Source organism: Homo sapiens, chromosome 11 (assembly GCF_000001405.40).
Source record: "Homo sapiens chromosome 11, GRCh38.p14 Primary Assembly".
Lineage (NCBI taxonomy): Eukaryota > Metazoa > Chordata > Mammalia > Primates > Hominidae > Homo > Homo sapiens.
Genome location: NC_000011.10, coordinates 33,892,210 through 33,911,695, shown reverse-complemented (window position 1 = coordinate 33,911,695; position 19,486 = coordinate 33,892,210). Strand labels below are relative to the sequence as shown.

Below are 19,486 nucleotides of genomic sequence, written 5' to 3'. Positions count from 1 at the left end.
GGTTCAAATACAAGTGACAGAAACTCCTCCAAAGCAGTGGCTTAGACAAGATAGAAGTTTCTTTTCTTTTCTTTTCTTTTTTTTTAACAAAAGCCAGGAAATTAAGGCCAGGTGCCATGGTTCATGCATATAATCCCAGCCCTTTGGGAGGCTGAGGCAGGAGGATTGCTTGCGTCCAGCCTGGGCAACATAGTGAGACCTTGTCTCTACAAAAAAAAATTATTTGGGCATGGTGGTGCACGCCTGTAGTCCCAGCTCCTTGGGAGGCTGAGGTTGGAGGATTGCTTGAAGCTGGGAAGTTGAAGCTGCAGTGAGCTGAGATCGCGCCACTGCACTCAGACCTTGGTGACAGAGTGAGACCCTGTCTTGAAAAAAAAAAAAAGGCAGAAAATTAGTCCAGAACTTGTATGATGCTTTGCTATTCATTGGTATGGAAGCTAAAGCTTCCAAGCAACACAGAAGGGAAAGGAGAAGGACATGGACCTTTCCTAGAAGTTCCAGATACCACTTCTGCTTGCATTCTTATTAATGAGGATTTAGTCACATGACTGTATTAACTGCAAGGGAGTCTGGGAAATGTGGTCTTAATTATGCAGCTAATACCCAGAGCTACTGTAAATTAGGAAGAAGGGGAAGAAAACTGGGGGATCATAGCTGGCATGGCTCTTTGACCCCTGGGTTGACCCCAACCTCTAGCTAGTCCTTCTGTAATGCAACCCTTAGTTTCTCTAGATGTGGGGGTCTGGATATCTGTCAGGTCAGCCTGGCTTATTGGCTTCAGGCCTGGGACCAGTGTACTGGAAGGGTTTTAGTGCCTTCATCTCCCTGATGTAAACTTCATCTTGCCAGTTGACTTAGTCATCACCAAAGATTGACTCAATAAAGATGCCGCATTTCCCAGAGGATGGTTTTCTAATTAGTGTGAAGAGAAAGTTCCAGCTGTGAGGACAGGAATCCGAGTTTCTGAAATGCAATGATTATTAGTAACAATCAATCAACCAGCTTCACAGGACAATGGAGAAAAAGCCAGCTCTCAAGGATGCTATGTGGAGCAAGGATGATGGCTGCCTGGAACAGGAGGCAGTGTGGCTCAATTGCAATGTGGCCAAGCCCCTGAGACAGAGAGAGACTTTGTAACAAGGTTTTACTGCCTGCAGGAAAAATCCTGCCAAAATGCATTCGGGAACGTGCTGGGAGACATGTATTCATTATTATGCCCCTAGCAGCTATCGCAGGAAACCATCTGGGCTCAGTTGGCCTATAAATTTGCAACTTGCAGTTGGGTGGGCTACAGGGAATTGGCCAAGCAGGAAGTCAAGGTGTGAAGTGGATCTGGCAGGTTCTATACACAGGGCTAGCTCAGAAAGTTGCCACTACTCGCAGTTATTTTTCCTTTTAATTTTTTATTGTGAAAAAATCACACATAGAGAAAAGTGCATAAAACATAAATGTACACTTTAACAAATTATCATAAAGTGAATACAGATGCTATAATCACCCGGGTCAAGAAATAGGACATTGTCAGCTCACTAGAAGCGTCCTATGTGCCCATTTAAACACAACACCCCTTTTCCTCCCAAAGATCACAATCCTGATTTTAAGTATAACTTCCTTGCCTCATTTGACCGTTTTGCCATTTAAGTGCTCACTCCAAAACAATAGTGTCTATTTTTGAACTTTATATTGTTGTACAGAATCATAGAGTTCATATTCTTTTGTGTCTGGATGTATTTGTTTATTGATTTATTGATTTTTTTAAGAGACAGGGTCTTGCTCTATTGCCCAGGCTGGAGTGCAGTAGTGTGACCATAGCTCCCTGCAACCTTGAAATCCTGGGCTCAAGTGATCTTCCTACCTCAGTCTCCTGAGGAGCTGGGACTCCAGGTGTGTGCCACCACATCTGGCTATTTTTAAATTTTTTTTGTAGAGATAGGGTCTTGCTGTGTTGCCCTAGGCTGGACTTGGACTTCTGGCCTCAAGTGATCCTCCTGCCTCAGCCTCCTGATGGATTTTCCTTTGTGCTCAACATTCTTTAAAAGGTTTATCCATATTGCATAATATGAGCATAAAGCCTACTTTGTGTATTTTCATTACTGAATATTATTTGGTTTACCTATTTTACTGCTTTTAGACATTTTACTGTTCCTGGACATTTGGGTTGTTTTCAGTCCGGGTTTATCACAAATAATGCTGCTAGGAACATTGTTGTACATACAGGCTTTTGCACATATGTGTGTTTGAGAACCACATCTGTAATTCTCAAACTTCAGTGTGCATAAAAATAGCTGGTGAGCTTGCAAAGATAGAGATTCCTATTTTTTTTTTTTTCCCTAGTAATCCTGATTGAGTAAGTCTAGGGTGGGGCCCCTAAGTTTTCATTTCCAACAAATTGTTACTGAGCTACTGAACCCTGGACCACGCCTTGAGTAACGTTACAGAGCAGGGGTTGGCAAACTACCTCCCATAACCCAGAATGGGCCCACTACCTCTTTTGTACAGTCCATGCACTAAACATGATTTTTACATTTTTTAATGGTTGGAAAAATCCAAAGAAGGTACATTATATGAAATTAATTATATAAAATTCAGGGCTGGGCACAGTGGTTCACACCTGTAATCCCAGCACTTTGGGAGGCTGAGAGGGGAGGATCACTTTAGTCCAAGAGTTCAAAACTAGCCTGGGCAACATAATAAGACACCCATCTCTACAAAAAGATGTTTTTAAAAAGTAGCTGGGTGTGGTGGTGTGTGCCTGTAGTGCCAGCTACTCAGGAGGCTGAGGTGGGAGGATCACTTGAGGCCAGGAGGTCAAGGCTACAGTGAGCCGTGCTTGCGCCACTGCACCCCAGCCTGGATGACAGAGTGAGACCCTGTCTCAAAATAACAATAAAAATTTAAAAAATCTCAAATTTTGGTGTCCATAAATAAAGTTCTAGTGCACACAGCCACGCCAGTTTCTTTCTGCATTGTCTGTGGCCACTTTCCTGCTCAGCAGAGCTGAGTAGTTGCAACAGAGACCACATAGCCTGCAAAGCCTAAAATATTGACTTTTTAATCTTTTACAGAAAAAGTTTTCTAATGCTTGATTTAGAATATATGCTTTTGAGTTGGGATTACTGTATAATAGGATAGGCATTTCTAACGGTTTTAGTAGATAACATCAGTTCTTCAAAGTGGCTGTGCCACTCTGCATTCCCATTGGCAGTGAATGAAAGTTCCTATTGCTTCATGTTCTTACCAACACTTGGTTTTGTCAGATTTTAGACCGGGTGTGGTGGCTTATGCCTGTAATCCCAGCACTTTATTTATTTTTATTTTATTATTATTATTAATGTTATTTATTTATTTATTTATTTATTTTGAGATGGAGTTATGCTCTTGTTGCCCAGGCTGGAGTGCAATGGCATGATCTTGGCTCACTGCAACCTCCACCTCCCAGATTCAAGTGATTCTCCTGCCTCAGCCTCCCGAGTAGCTAGGATTACAGGCACGTGCCACCGTGCCCAGCTAATTTTGTATTTTTAGTACAGATAGGGTTTCACCATGTTGGCCAGGCTGGTCTCAAACTCCTGACCTCAGGTGATCCATCTGCCTCAGCCTCCCAAAGTGCTGGGATTACAGGCTTGAGCCAGCATTATTTATAATAAGGGACATTGAAAACAAATGTCAGGCAATAGAGGAATGGATAAGAAAATTATGGTTATGTTCGGATGATAAGATACAGTACAGTTATGAAAAGAAAAATTACAGCAATATGAATCAATGATTTTAATACAATTTTAAGTGAAAAAGAATGGAGTGCAATGCTACAGAAAAAAATTATATATGTGGGAAAAAATAGATTCATTGGAAAAAAGTACCGGAAGGAATATATTGTAATGGTAACAGTTGTTACGAATATAGGTGATTTTTTCTTTTCTTCGGTTTTCCAAACTTTCAGTTCTGTGTTTATGTAAGTTTATAGTAAAGACATAAGTAAGAAACCACTTCCTATTGCTGACTGGCTTCTGTTTTTCAAAGTACTTGCCATGCGCCGGTCAATATGCTAAATGCTTTACAAGTGTGATCTCATTTAATCCTCAGAACCCTTATGGGGTAGTGTTTTAGGTTATTATCTTCTTACGAATAAGAGGAGGAGAAGGAAGCTTAGAGAGGGGAAAGAACTTGCCTCAAGGCACACGGTGGGAGGCAGAGTTGGGGCGTGGATGTGAATCCGTCAGGCACCACAGCCTGTGATCTTAACCCCTGTCCCAGCCCGCTACCACTTGCTACAGAACCGTGGGGTCTTTCCGGGGAAAGTGGGTTCAAGGATGGCTAAAGTGCTATTCTGCCTAGAAGAAAGCAGGTCATTTAGTCTCTAGACCCCTCCAGTTTTCTGACTCTGATTCTCAGCCCCATCCGACACTAACTAGCTGGGTGATCTTAGATAGCAAACCTATTCCTGCAGAACCTCGGCTTCTTCTTCTGTCAAATGCAATAAACAGACCTCTCCTCATAGGTTGTTGCATTGATCAATGAGAGGATATACAAACCCACATCCTACAAAAAGGAGACACTTTGTGAATTTATTTTTCTCTACTCAAGGACACAGGAAACTTTAAAAAAGCCCCAGGCTTTTTCTGTCACTTGGCCTCTGGTTATTGTCCTGGGTGTAATGGAGTGGAAAACTCTATACACGGCTCCCTCTGACAGTGAATTTCTAATCTCGGAAAACTTAATGGTTTTTGTCAACCTGATTGTCCAGTGAGAGTGGATTAGGAGAATGACTTCCCTTGTCACTAGAAAGTTGACTTGCTTCACAGCATTTTTCCTGATGCCGGTGGGAGGCATGATCGATACAACACAGACCTCAATACTTACCTGTGGTTTCGGAAGCTGAGGACAAAGGTTGGGAGTTCCATTTAAGTGCCTTCAGCCATTTCCAACTAAACCCAGGCGTGATGTGCATTAAGCGGTTCAGGCTGGTGACCCGGAGCTCCACGGTCTGAGGGGCAAACCAGAAATCTAGCAGTTGCTTTTTCCTGACCAGCGATGCAGAGGCCTCTTGGCTCAGGCTGGATTTGTCTTCTCTGCTCCAGTTTTCCCGTCTGCAGAAGAAAGGCCCATTAGTTACTGTCTGTGCTGCAAGGGAAGGATGGCCTTGCTGGTTTCTATATCAGGACTTACCAGAAACAGTGCATGGGAGCAAAAATGGACAGGGACTACTAATGGAAACTTGGTTCCAAATCCCCTTACACACGGTCAGCCCAAGGCCCAGAGGCCACACGTTGCCTAGGGCAGCTCTTGCACCAGGCTACACTCTGCGGCAGATGGAACTGAGAGACAGACTTCAGTGTCCACCAGAATTAACTCCTGCCACATCCAGGGCAGCCCCCTCTGTCCTGGATGGCAAAACAAAGCCCTATTTTACTTGAAGCACTTAAAATCATGTTGCTTCCTTGGGGAGGTCTTCCCAGGCTTTTTAGGCTAGGTCAGGTCCCCCGCTAGCACTTTCTCTTCACTACAGTCATTATGATTAGAAACAAATGATGATCTATATCCATTAGACCACAAGCTCCATGAAGGCAAGGGTCTTTGCTTGCCTCATTTGCTGCTGATCCAAAGCATATAAACGTATTCAGGACCATAGTATGTGCTCCAAAAATATTTGTTGTATGCTTGGTATTAGTCTGTCCTCACATTGTTATAAAGAAATCCTGGAGACTGGGTAATTTATAAAGAAAAGAGGCTTAAATTGGCCCACAGTTCCACAGGCTGTACAGGAAGCATGATGCTGGCCTCTGCTTGGCTTCTGGAGAGGCCTCAGGAAACTTACAATCATAGTGGAAGGCGAAGGGGAAGCAGGCTTGTCTTACGTGGCCAGAGCAGGAGCAAGAGAGGGTGGAGTTCTCACAAGAACTCACTATCGCCACGATAGCACCAAGGTAGACGGTGTTAAGCCATGAGAAACCACCCCCATGATCCAATCACCTCCCACCAGGCCCTACCTCCAGCATTGGGGATTATAATTTGACATGAGATTTGGGTGGGGACACAGATCCAAACCATATCACATATTAATTAATAAACCAATCTAATTACTTGTTTATGTTCGTCTCCCTTATTTGAGTAGAAGCCCTATGGGGGAAGGAACTGTGTCTTATTCATCCTGTATCCCTAGGACCCAGACAATGCCTGGCATGTAGTAGATACATCATAAACATTGGAGGAATAGTAAAGTACTTAGAATTTTTATGTTGAATTAATGTAAAATTGATAGTATGAATTTTAGTTATTTAAGTACTAACACTACAATAGTTATTATAGAAAAAGAGAGTAACAGACCCGTCTTCCACTAACGTCACCACTCTTAGACAACTACTTTAGTTATTTTGATGCTTTCTTTTTCAAAGTTTTTCATTTGTGTATTTTACACACAATTTTAATCCGGTTATTTTAAGTACACATGTGCACACACATGCACACACACACACAGAAACACACATCAACAACTGCCCAGGTGGCAGGGAGTTTTGTGGATTTAATGGCAGGAAGGGAGGCCTAGTTGAATAATGTCTTTCTTATTGTTATAATTAATTATTGGCCCTACAATGGAATTGATAGCATCATGGGAACCGCGACTGAGAAGTATTGCTCTCTAAATGTTCACCCCTGGGGTCAAGGCAAATCTGGCTATGGAAAAAAATGTGCAGGTTAGAAATAATCCACAGGAAAATGCTCAGAAATCAGGGAAATTTGCTATGGCCGCGTCTCAACATAAACCACTTACGTAAACTGCAGTGGGCTTCGTGGTTCAGGATTCATTCCTCAGCCTTTTTTGTTTGGATCATTATGTGGAAATCAACCCAGTTTCTGTCTTTAAGCCCCTAGTGACATGTTGCCAACAGTGACTTCTAGGTGATTATAAAAGTGAGGGAACCACCGTATAATTGAAAAAACAAATCTAATCAAAATTCTGGTCTGCTATATTCAAAACACAATTCTAAAGGCTAGGAGGGAAAGGGTCTACTTCCCGTAAGGGGCAGCCTGTAATAGTAGAAAGCCTCTTAGCTGACAAAGAGAACTTGTGCAAACTTCTTGTTGATAAATAAGGTAGGCAGAAAGTTGAGTGGACAAAAGACTCATGTATTGGTGGGGGACCACTTCTGGGGTTGGATAGAGGCTCTGTGTTAGTTAGAGGTAAAGAGGTATACTTTGATCTTGCTCTTTTGTGTTTTTTTTTGCCTTTTTCCGACCTGGAATAGAAAACAGGAGTAAGGGGTGAGGAAGGAGCCGATCTGAGGTCATTAACACAGCACTCCTCCAGGAGATGGTTTACATGGCAGGCAGAGGGACCAGGTGTTAGTTCTAGCTCTGCGCTCACTTTCATGTGTGAACCCTTCTCGGTCCTAGGGGTGATGATGACCTCATGCCACCTTCACAGACTTGTAAGGACTGAATCAGACCCTGGCTATAAAAGCACTTTGAAAAGCACATAAGCAAATGTTTTTAAATGAAAAGTGAGGTGCCAATGTTGCAAGAGGAAGCCATACTATTGAAAAGCCCTCATGAGGACTTTTAACATCCAAGCTCCAGCAGCCTTATAGGAGATTCGTAAGTTGAGAGCTCAGGGATTTTTGCATTCTGGAGGCACCAAGAGATAAGGGAGTAGGGTTTTTTTTTAAACATACAAAGGAATGCAAAAGTTAACAGGCACTTGATAATAGCTGAGTTTAGTGGGAAAAAACATCAGTATATGTTTCTACTTCCTGAAATTTTCCTTTCTATGATATTTATGTATTTATAAAACAAAAATGGTAAAAGAAGATGGCTAGTCATACAAACATTCTAAGAAAGTCTTCTAAGGCTAAAGAGTGATCTAATAAACAACATATTTTAACAGGCTCCATTTGTTTTTACCTTATGAATTGACTTATCCATTTAATAAATATGTATTGAGTATCCACCTAAAGATATAAGAAGGAAATAATTCACTTCTGTAGGGTGGGGATTATACTATCAAATCTATTGGGCATTGCAAAGACGCACAGAACAGACTAAAATGAAATTGCAGGCTCAAAGTGCCATTCAAATTCAGAAAGGAAACACTGCATGGTGTAGCAGGGACTAATAGTTGCTCACCAAATCCATATTTTCCTCTCCTTCCTGGGCACAAAGATAAACTATATTTCTCAGACTCCGTTCCTTTTTTTTTTTTTTTTTTTTTTTGATAGATGAGGTCTTGCTCTGTTGCCTAGGCTGGAGTGCAGTGGTGCAATCATAGCTCACTGCTGCCTCAAGTCATCCTCCTTCCTCAGCCTCCAGGGTCACTGGGATTACAGGTGTGAGCCACCACAGCTGGCTCCGACTCTCTTGCATTTAGCTACAGCTGCGTGACGGAATTCTATCCAATTGCACGAGATTGGAAGTTTCGTTCATCACTTTCAAGTCTGGCCCATAAAGGTTTCCCACACACTGCTCCTTCATGCTCCTTCCCCATCCAACTGGCTGGAATTGAGAGGACCTCACACGTTGAAGACAGCAGAGCCTCCCTCTCCCTGGATCTTTAAACAGTTACACGGGAGAAGCCTGCCCTGCCAACTGTTCACCAATCCAGTACTATTAGGGGAAAAGAAGTGAACTTCAAGGATGTGGAGTCATTATATATTTTGAGATCCCTTGTTTAAGCAGCTATTCTAATTTAACTAAGACAGCAACTAATTCTTCAACTTTTACATCTGTAAGATGGAAGGAATGAGTAGTAGTAACAGATATTTAACAGCAATGGATGCTTTTGCTATTTGTCATAGACAAAAAAGTTCAAAGGGTTTGGGATTCTTTTTATGATTGTTCCAGGGGCTGTCTTCTGGGACAATTGGTAGGATCATCTTTACACTTTTCTTTGCCTTGGTTCTTCCATGGCAAGATAGATAGATAGATAGATAGATAGATAGATAGATAGATAGATAGATAGATAGAAAATAGATTTTTTTGAAGGTAAAGTATAACCATTATGCTCTCTAAAATGGCGGCAACCAATTGAACTCCTTCATTGGCAGGTGGAGATATTAAAGCAGGATATAAGGCATCAGGAAAAACCTGGTTTTCTGTATCCCTGGTCATTGCTCTGCCAACTCACCCCTGCCCAGGTATTTATAGTAATGTCAGGCATCTTTAGCCTGAGCCTTATCCAGACACAAGGCCAATGGTATCATGGCTTCATGGTACCACAGGAACTTGCTCTTTATTAATGAGCACATGCGGTCTGGAAATAGGCTATTTTCAGCTGCTTTAGCCTTTGATTAGGATGCTGTTGGTTAATAGTGATAGAAAACTCAAATCAAGGTGATTTAAGCTAATAGAGAATTTATTGATCCATGTAACTGAAAACTCCAGGGTTAGGGGCTGGCTCTAGGCACAGCTGGATTCGAAGGCTCCAACGATGTCATTAGGACTTGGTCTTCCTGGGCCTCTCTTCCTTGCCCTGCTCTATTTCATCTTTCAGTCTTGGCTCCATACGGTGGCAAGATAGCTGCAGCAACATCAGCTACCCAAGGTGACCCTTCTCTGAACCAATCCCAGTGGCCTGGGAGGCACCATGCTTTGATTAGCCAGGCATGCTCACGTGGCCTACTCTGGAAGTTGGATGTGGGAACTCCACCAAGAACACAGGGACTAAGAGTAAGGAAGGAATGGCTTTCCAAGGGACTATCAAGGGGGAGAGATGGGTGCCAAGGAGCCAACCATGCCAAGTACCAAGAGATGAGGGGGTGCTATGTTCAGATTGTAGCTTTGTGCTGCACCTTTACACCTCCCTGCTCTGGTGGTGCTAACCCACCTCCCTGGCCCTTCTAAATCCTGGGAAGGGGGACTCAAGTCCTTATTCAGAACTCCAGCAGCAGGCTATAAATCCTGTCCCACTTGCCTGAGCCCTTTCAGCCCCTTCACTCAAGGCTAGTTTCCAGATTACCCTAACCTGGAGCTGGCGCCATGTCCTGCAGGAGACGGGAGAGGGCAGAGGGCAGCTTCGGGCTCTTAGGTAGAATTTCTTCTTTTTAAATTTTAATTATTATTTTTTTGAGACAGAGTCTTTCTCTGTCTCCCAGGCTGGAGTGCAATGGTGTGATCTTGGCTTACTGCAACCTCTGCCTCCTGGGTTCAAGTGATTCTCCTGCCTCAGCCTCCTGAGTAGCTAGGAGTACAGTCGCACACCACCAAGCCTGGCTAATTTTTGTATTTTTAGTAGAGATGGGGTTTCACCATGTTGGCCAGGTTGGTCTTGAACTCCTGACCTACATTGATCCTCCCGCCTCGGCCTCCCAAAGTGCTGGGATTACTGGTGTGAGCCAAAGAGCCTGGCCTTACATAGAATTTCTGCCTATGGATCTCACTTTTCTCTGCATTAATACTTACCGCTCTGTTTTCTGACTCTGTTGCCATCAATTCCCCATACAACTTCCTGCCTATTCCATCAGGTTGGGCTCTGTGGTTATTGTCACCTGCCTAAATTGCACTTGGGTTTTACTCACACTCCTTTGGACCTAACTGTCAAGTTCTCAAGAGAGAAGGTCCCATCTCTTTGGTCTTATCGCAGTGAATCCTTACACCACCACCATGAAATGGGCATTATAATTCCTACCTTTTACAGGTAACAGAATAGAATAGAATAGAGGCATGGCAAGCTAAAATAACGAGTCCATGGTTACACATCTGGCAAGGGACAGAACTAGGATTCAAACACAGCCGGTCCGACACTAGGGGCTGTGCTCCTAACTTCTACATGATAGTGCTCAGTTTTAGGGGGAGAGGCTCAGGTGTTACAAAGGGCTTACCCAGAGTTGGGGAACAGTCCCAGGTAGACTATGCCAAACCAAAACAGAACCATCACCAGGAGTTGGCAATGAGTTGTCAGGCTGTCCTAACCTAGAGATTGGGCTCAGCCAATGTCACCAACAGGGAGGAACTCAGACCAGGAACACAAGGGCTCAGAATCCAGTTGCTAAGGTCCGAATAACAAGTGCAGGTGCCCAAATCTGGGGAGGGCAGGGCCGGGGAGAAAGGTGATCTGCCAGGAGGCAATTGACCTGCCCCCTTAAATGCAGATGTTTCCTTCCTCAAGTGCATATCTTGGCTCATGATTCAACCCCTTTATACTCATAGAATCTGGACCTCAAAACATTAAACAGAGATGTTTACTGTGGGTTGGGAAGGGGGACAGAGGTGGAGAGCTAGAGTTCAAAAACCGTATGAAGATGTTTTCTGAGCTGAATACCCCCAGTAGGGCCACACGATGCCCAGGGGACTCACTAGGAGATTTAAGGCATGTACAGAGGTAAGAGAAAATGAGAAACAAGAACATGAAAACTAGAAGAGGAAGGAAGACAAGGCCAAAAAAAGAGAAAACCGAGGCCACTCTAGCGGGAGGTCAGAGACTTGTGCTTTGGCAATTACTGGAGTTGTCCCACAGCGCTGCCCCTCAGAAACCTACACCAGGGTTGGAGGGAGCCATGGGTGGACAGGCTGTACCTGATAACTTGTGCTTCCTTCCCCCAGTTTTCCCACTCTCGTTAATGAGTTTTGAGACAAAATGTCTCTCCCCAGGCTAGAAGAGCTTCAGTAACAAGATGTCCAGAGTTAGTTGACACTCAGGTGAAAAGCCTCTTGCAGAAAGGAATTTTTTTTTAATGCCATCATAAAACTTCCCAGCTCACCTAGGCCTGCCGTGGAAATGGTGCCTCCAAGGACAGAGAGGAGATCAGAGCATCTGATCTGAAGCCGAGGCATAAGGGAAAGTTGGGAATACACAATCCTCTCCCAGACAGAATCAAACTTGCCTTTCTGCAACATCTGATTTTGCAAGAAGTGACGGACTGAGAGTAGGAGAGGAAAAGGAGAGTTCAAACAAGGTCACTTGACCCACCTAACCCTGTCCAGAGGAATGAAGCCTGAGAAAGCCTCCCAGAGACCCGTCCTCAATTTCGCCTTGACCTTTTCTGGGTTTATCCATGTGCAGCAGGGGCAGCTGTCCCGAACTAATCCTCTGCCTAATTCGAGCTCTTCACCCTCCATTCTGTCTCAATTAAACAAACGCGGGTCTGCCAGGCCGTTTCCATAGACCACTCCCTCACATGAGAGGCATTCCAGCATCTGGGCTCTGGAGTCAGGAAGAGCTCTGTCCAAATGTCACTCTGCCATTTCCTAGCTGAGTCACCCTGGATGACTGCCCATCCCTACGCCTCTGTTCTCTCAGCAGTGAGTTGGGGAAAATTGTACTCATCTAGAAGGGCTCAGAGAAACAACAGGGAGAGAGTGCTGAAGGCATTGTGATGAAAAATATTGCTGAATTATTAAACATTAAATTATCAAAATTATTAATCGCATTAAAATATCATTACACACTTACCTGACCCAAAGTCTTAATGATAGGGTTCAAGAGGCTTTTCCTCCCAGAGGTGCAGCTTTGAGGGGCTTTTGTACACTGGCCCTAGAGACACAGGGGTGAATAAGACAGGTACCAGCTCTCAAAGGCACACAGTGAGCAGGGGCCACAAGACAGCCTAACGCTCAACTAGAATCAATGCTAAACATACTATGACAGATAAATGTACAGTGTGCTCTCAAGAGATAACAGTGCCCACCTAGGAAACTTAGGGAGTTGTCATTTGATCTGGGCCTGGAAGAGCGAGCTGGATTTGATTGGATGGATTGTTCTTGGCAGAGGAATGACATTTCAGGAAGAGGGAACAGCAGGAGCAAAAAGTATGATGTTTGGATTCCACTCGGGATATTGGGAACACATGAGAAGGACTAGAGAATGCAGTCTGTTATGTGGGATGGCAGGCTAGGAGATGAGAAAGGTAAGCTAGTCAAGACTCGGAAGTGGCTAATACAACTGAAAGTGGTCCCATAGGACAATGGGAGAACTTTCAGTGATGATGGAAATGTTCTACATCTGCCCGTCCAATATGGTAGCCACTGGCCCCATGTGGCTATTGAGCACTTTATTTATTTATTTATTTTTATTTTTTGAGACAGAGTCTTACTCTGTCACCCAGACTGGAGTGCAGTGGTGCAATCTCGGCTCACTGCAACCTCTGCCTTCCGGGTTCAAGAGATTCTCCTGACTCAGCCTCCTGAGTAGCTGGGATTACAGGCGCACGCCACCATGCCCAGCTAATTTTTGTATTTTTAGTAAAGGCGGGGTTTCAACATGTTGGCCAGGCTCGTCTCAAACTCCTGACCTCAAGTGATCTGCCTGCCTCCGCGTCCCAAAGTGTTGGGATTATAGGCGTGAGCCTTCGTGCCCGGCCTATTGAGGACTTTACAGGAAGCTAGTAAGACTGAGCTGTGAAATTTTTAGTTTTATTTAATTTTAATTAGTTTGAATGTAAATTTCAATAGCCACATGCAGCTAGTGGCTACTATTCTGGACAGTATAGCCACAGAACTTATGACAATGACTCAAGGCCCTCATCTTGCAGTCCCATCCTCAGCCCATAAAATGGGAGCCCCGCCCAAGCTGCTGCTGTGATTATGCAGCAGGGTAGATGAGTTTGGGGCTGAAATATAATTTATTTCCTGCTTGCTAAGCCACGCACTCTGATGTGGCAGTGTCTGCCCAGAGGAAGAGGCAGCTTTTTCTAATTCTTACAGAGGCATCATGTGGGCTAGCAGTAGCCCTGCTTCCTCTGAAGTTTGTTGCTCAGTGATCTGTCTGCATGTAGAGTCAGGTTTCTTTTCATCTCCTGCTTCCTGGAGTCACTGGGCCAGGTACGCACACCTGGAACATGGCCCAGGTGGGATGTGCTGGGCACTGACTGTTAGTGATGCTCCCACAGTGTGAGAAGGCCGGGTCCTCAGTATGGCTGTCAGTGTAAAGTTCTATTCTGCATCCCAAATTCTGCCCACAGGCAGATCCTTTGGCCTAAACTTGAGGAGGAGGTAATGATCTCTACTTTGACCACAGGTTGAAAGGGCAGTCACTATTCCACTTTGCCAGCAAGAGAGCACATATTATAGTTTAATTCTCACTTGGCTTCCTGGTCTATTTCTCAGTTGTTTCTAATACAAAGAGGAAAGGTAAAGTCATGATACTTTTTTGGAGCCTCCTACCTCCCAGCAAAAAGGACATGCACATACTTTCCAATCTTGAATGCAAAAGCGGTGACATATTCACGAGCCAACAAGTACACACATGACATTACTGCTCTAAAACACAGGCACAGACTGTCAAGAGTTGGAAGGAATATTGAATTCTAAAATCTCATCATAAGATGAGGAAACTTGAGTCTCAGAGAAGTTTGATGATCCGCTCAAGCCAGGTAGGAGCCAGATATGGCTAGATCCCATTTCTCCTGAATCAACCCATACCTAATTATTAAAATTAAAGGTTGCGAACTGGTAGCCATTAGTTAAAGTCAGCCTGCTGATTTTTAATTTTTTGTCCTCAGTGTTGGCTCATGCACAACTTAAAAAATATTTTTGCCAGCCTGGCCAATAAAGCAAGCCCCATCTCTACAAAAGAAAAAAAAAGATTTTTAAAAAACTTAGCCAGGCATGATGACTTGCATCTGTAGTCTCAGCTAATAAGGAGGATGAGGCAGAGGACTGCTTGAGCCAGGAGTTGTAGTCTGTGGTGAGCTATGATCACACCACTGCACTCCAGCTTGGGTGACAGGGCAAGACCCTGTTTTGAAAACAAAATTAAAAAAATATATATATTTGGCTTTATTTAAAAGACGAAAGAATTCACTTTGAAATCCAAATTAACGAACATTTCTGGGCCTGTAAATCTACATGGTAGAAGGGGCTGAAGCAATGTCGTGCCTGATCCTACCATAGAGAGGATAAAGGGGAGGAATGAGGGATGGGGATCATTTCAGACACTGATAATTCAAGCAGTTAAGCTGGATCACAAAGTAATATATGCTGCTTTCAAAATGTCTAGTTCATGATTCATTATTGCTTATTATGAGGACTTAGAGTTTCAATCTGTAGAAGTTTCAATAAAATACAGATCTTAGAGATCATGCAGTCAAGCCAATTCATTTTACAGATGAGCATCACAGGTCCCAGACCACACACGCCTTCAGATAAAAACAGGGTCGCAGAGGTGGTGACCAGGCCGGAGTTGGTGGATTCCCCTGGCTCCTGCACTATGGGGGCGCTAGATCTGTCACATTCCTTGCCCCTTTACAAATAGTTTTGGGAGCAAATCCCCAGGAATGTTTCTTGTGGATTCACATGTATCAAGGATACTCATTTCCACACCAAAGGCATTGATGCCCCACCTGGCACATAACAGCCACTCAATAAATGTGTTAGATGAATGAATGAATGAATGTGTAAGTGTGAATGACCTCAAAGGTGAGTGATGCTGCCTAAACCAAGGTCATCGAAACTGGCCCTTAGGGCACCATTCCCTGAAGCCACCCGTGCCATCATCTTTATTCACAGCCAAGCAGCTGGCCCCAGAGCTTTGTGTCTTGCTCTTCCCCAGATATCTCAGTGAAAAGCCTTTGATTCAATTTTCACTCCCTCTCTTATAGCTCTCTTGCTCTAGGACTCCACTGGGGGTCCGAGAGCTGTTCTTCCTCTGCTATTTCCTGTTGTTCTTGAATAAAACAAATGCCCCTTCAACTTTGCTTCTCCATGGGACATGTTGTTCTCTGAGAGGCTCCTTGATCCTGCAAGTAATTAGGTCTGGAAGGGAGGGTGTCCTATTGGCCCTCCAGACTGGTTCAGACATGTCTAGACCCAGCTTAAATTACCTTGTCTGTTACACAAGGATGGTAACATGTTGGAAAGAAAATGAGACAAGCACTTTGCTGCTGTCTGGTAGAGCAGGTGGGGCTCCTGTTTAACATTTGCTGATCTCCACTTAAGAGCAGAACATCATCAGCCTTAGTCGCCATGCTGAAATGGGCTCTGTCACTTGGATAGCGTTTGTCAGTTGAAAGCTTTCTCTCCATAAACATCAACAGACTGGAAACCCAGTGAAAACTTTGTTTTTAATATTTAAAAATTAAGTCTCCACATGCACTCTGGGACAGAGGGGCAATAAATTACAACTTGCTATGTGCCAGAGATTATACTAATTGTATATCTGATTAAATTCTCACAACAGCCTTAAGAGGGTTTTGTAATCCTCATCTGCAGATGAAAAGTGGAGGAGGAGAGAGTAAGTGGCTTGCCTGAGTAAGGGCCAAGACGGAATTCAAACCCAGATTTTTGATGTCACAAAGCTAGTATCCTGGCGGGGCGTGGTGGCTCATGCCTGTAATCCCAGCACTTTGGGAGGCCGAGGCAGGTGGATCACTTGAGGTCAGGAATTTGAGACCCACCTGGCCAATGTGGATAAACCCTGTCTCTACTAAAAATACAAAAATTAGCCGGGCGTGGAGGCAGGCGCCTGTTATCCCAGCTACGAGGGAGGCTGAGGCAGTAGACTTGCTTGAACCCAGGAGGCTGAGGTTGCAGCGAGCTGAGATCACGCCCTGCTGCACTCCAGCCTGGGTGACAGGAACAAGACTCTGTCAAAACAAAACAAAAAAAAAAGCTAGTATCCTTCTCTTAGTGTTGCCCCCTGCAGAGGAACTGTTTTTTTTTTTTTTTCTTTTAAAGCACCCTACATCACATAATGTCAGCTGGACTTTTCTGTGATATTAACACTGGGATCCTGTAAAACACTATATTCTGACCATAGTCTGACACTCTGCATAATGAACAATTAGCCGGGAAAACATAGTATTTGAACCTCCTTTGCAGAGAGGAAATTCTCACAACTCCAAAGCAATAGTCAGCCCACAGTCAATGCCATCTCATCACCCAGCCCAAGGCTCGGCCTAAAACCTTCTAGAGGGTCTCACTCTAAAGATAACCCAAAGGTCTCACAGCTTCCTGGTTGCAAAAACGACAACAGGAGCAGGAATTGAGACCTAAAGATCATTTGGGTAGAAATGAGGAAAGAAATGACATGTTAAATGATGATTTTTCCCTAACTTGCCTTGTTCTTTCTAGATGTGGCTCAAGAACTTGCAGAGTTATGGTGGGATAATTCGACTGATCAAATGCTGAAAGTTTTCCTATCGACTTCAAGGCTGTTCAAATCTCTATGTACTTTGAAGTCTGAGGCACAAGATAATTTCCCAGAGATTCATGTTTCTATCGATGCTAGGCTGGGCTGACACAGATAACCCCTCAAGAGGCCTTTCCGAACTGCTGTATAAACTGTCCTGGGTCCAGCAATAAAGCAACTGTGTCATTATAGTTCTCTGCCCTTCAGAAGATCTGATCTTAATACCCTTCTCTTCTTTTTGTCCCTCTGATTTCATCAAATTTGTTGCCATTCTGGGTGTTTCTCCTTCTCTCCCCGACTTTTTCTACTTCAGATCAAAGAACTTCCCCTTTTTCCCACTTTTGGATTTGCGCCCTGGAGGACAACGCAAGGTTAACTTCCCTCCCACCTCCTCTTGTAGGCACACAGGGTGCCCCTTAGCCAGCGAAATCTCCGCGCCCGAGATCCTCTCACAATTTCAGGCTGGTGAATTGTAGTAGGAGACATGGTTTAGTTTGATGTGGTTAAGTCAGTCATCATGGCATCTTCGTACCCTCAGCCCCAAACCGCTCTCCTACTCATCACCCTCACTTTCATTTCTTTGGATTATCTTTCATCGGCTTACCACCAGCCTTCACAGCCTCACCCAAGGCTGAAGCAGGGCTAGCAGGGTGGTGCGTTTCCTTCCCTGGTTGAGCTGGTGACTGCTGTGGGTAAGCAGGTCCAATGTGAACTCAATTTTACATTGAGAAAGAGAAAGCAAGAGTGAGTGGGCTGCTAAGACTGTTGCTTCATGGTTTCCCCTAAGCCCCAGAAATAGAAAGGCAGACTTCCGACTGGCAGAGCCCGTATGCTAACCACCAGACCACACTGCCAGATAAGAAAAATGTTCGATTGTGTCATACTTCCCTCATTGGCTCCAGTGTCTGAAAATGGCCCTGAATTTCAGAGAGTCTTACCATGACCCAGGGATTTAGAGAGGATCGAAGAGGGAGGACAAAGGAATCAGGCACCTTCTCTCTCTCTTTTCTGGGGTAAATTTATTTTCAACCACAAAAGTAAAGGAAAGAAAAAGTCACAACAGATGAGTTATGAGCTAACTTTCTGATTTGCACATGTAAGAGAAAGAAATGAACTGGATATCATTAGACATTGAGAAAGGGAGTCTGCAAGCTAGCAATGTATCTTCGGCCTTTTTGATTTACACGTGTTTATTTATGAGTACCTACTGTGTGCCAGGCATGATGCTTGGTGCTGCCAATTCAAAGAGAAATAAGACACCTCCTTGCAAAGTGAGAAGGCAGAACTAGATTCAGATTCACCTAGATTTCAACTCTTGTGCTCAGGCCACCACCACCACCATGGAAACAATTTTGCTTGACTCTCCCGGCGCAGCCGCGGCAGGCGTGTGTGTTGTCAGACACTGCAGGAAGAGTGATGGCCTGGGTGTTGACAGGCTCCTAATTGGAAGGTAGGAGGTGCCACCAGAGATCAGCTATAAAAGATATCTTTGGACTGGGGTGGGCTGCTAATGCTTGGAAGAGACTTGTGGGTGAGGCCCGGTGAGCTGTCACCTCGGAATTGGGCCTTGCCCAGCAGACAGACATGCATGCGGGGGAGGTAGCTGACAGACAGGGGCGCATGGGGAAGCAGCCATTCCAGAGAACTGCAACAGCAGATTGCAAACCAGGACTTCAGGACTCAGAGGGGGACAAGGAAAGGAGAGCCTATAGTGGCCCCAAAGCCCAGGGTCAGAGGCAGGGCCAGGAGAGCAGCTGACAAGAGCTTTATGGTAAGGACAAAAGAGAAGACAGCCGGAGTCTCCTTTTATTCAGCTCATAAAGACCCAACTTCTGTGCACTTATAACTGTTCAGACCCTGAGGGGTTCAAAAAAAGAACCGTGTTAGGAGAATTCAATATTTAATTAAGAGATGATCAGATCCGTGCACCGAAATTATTGCTGGGTAAGACAATACTGTGTGTGTTACATAGCATTGGAACTTAGGAAAGCTCTTTCCTTGTGTTGTTTAATTTAATCCACTCAACAACCCTGCAAAGTGGGTACCATTGTCCCTGTTTTTTATGAATGAGGGGGTGAGGTGCTGAGAAGCTGTGTACGTTATTTGAGTTTGTCTGGCTAGTCAGTGGCTGAGCCAAGTTCCAATCCAGGTCATGTGAGCCTCTGAACTTTCTGATAAAACCTGCAGACCCCCTTAACTGGGATAATATAGTCATGCATTAAGCAAGAAGGAGAAGTAAATACAGGCTGATGGTGTAGGGGAGAAATTCAAAGGGAGAAGGCCTAGGAGGGAGAGGGAGCTATGTGTGAACAGAACCAAAGATGGCCTCTGGGAATTGGAAGGTCTCTTGGAATTCGTCCAAACTGAGGATCACAAGTCTCCACATTCTGAGTAGGAGGATGAGGGTCTGAGTTAGGATTTGGGTCCTGC

The 19,486-nt window shown here is 44.3% G+C and overlaps 1 long non-coding RNA gene across 1 annotated transcript, besides 1 other annotated feature; it reads right to left on the bottom strand.

Moving 5' to 3' along the window:
• Positions 1 to 57: 57 nt before the first annotated feature.
• On the bottom strand, positions 58 to 17,750 carry LOC105376621 (uncharacterized). The gene is made up of 3 exons (XR_931176.3): positions 17,661 to 17,750; positions 4,861 to 5,087; positions 58 to 963 (listed from the first exon to the last, which is right to left on the bottom strand). It is a non-coding gene; the product is annotated as an uncharacterized LOC105376621 (long non-coding RNA).
• Positions 17,508 to 17,677: an enhancer, noted in NCBI's record as "active region_4587". NCBI's record gives its function as "activates an Ori minimal core promoter by ATAC-STARR-seq in GM12878 lymphoblastoid cells {active_cell/tissue: GM12878}" and the evidence as "EXISTENCE:reporter gene assay evidence [ECO:0000049][PMID:35858748]".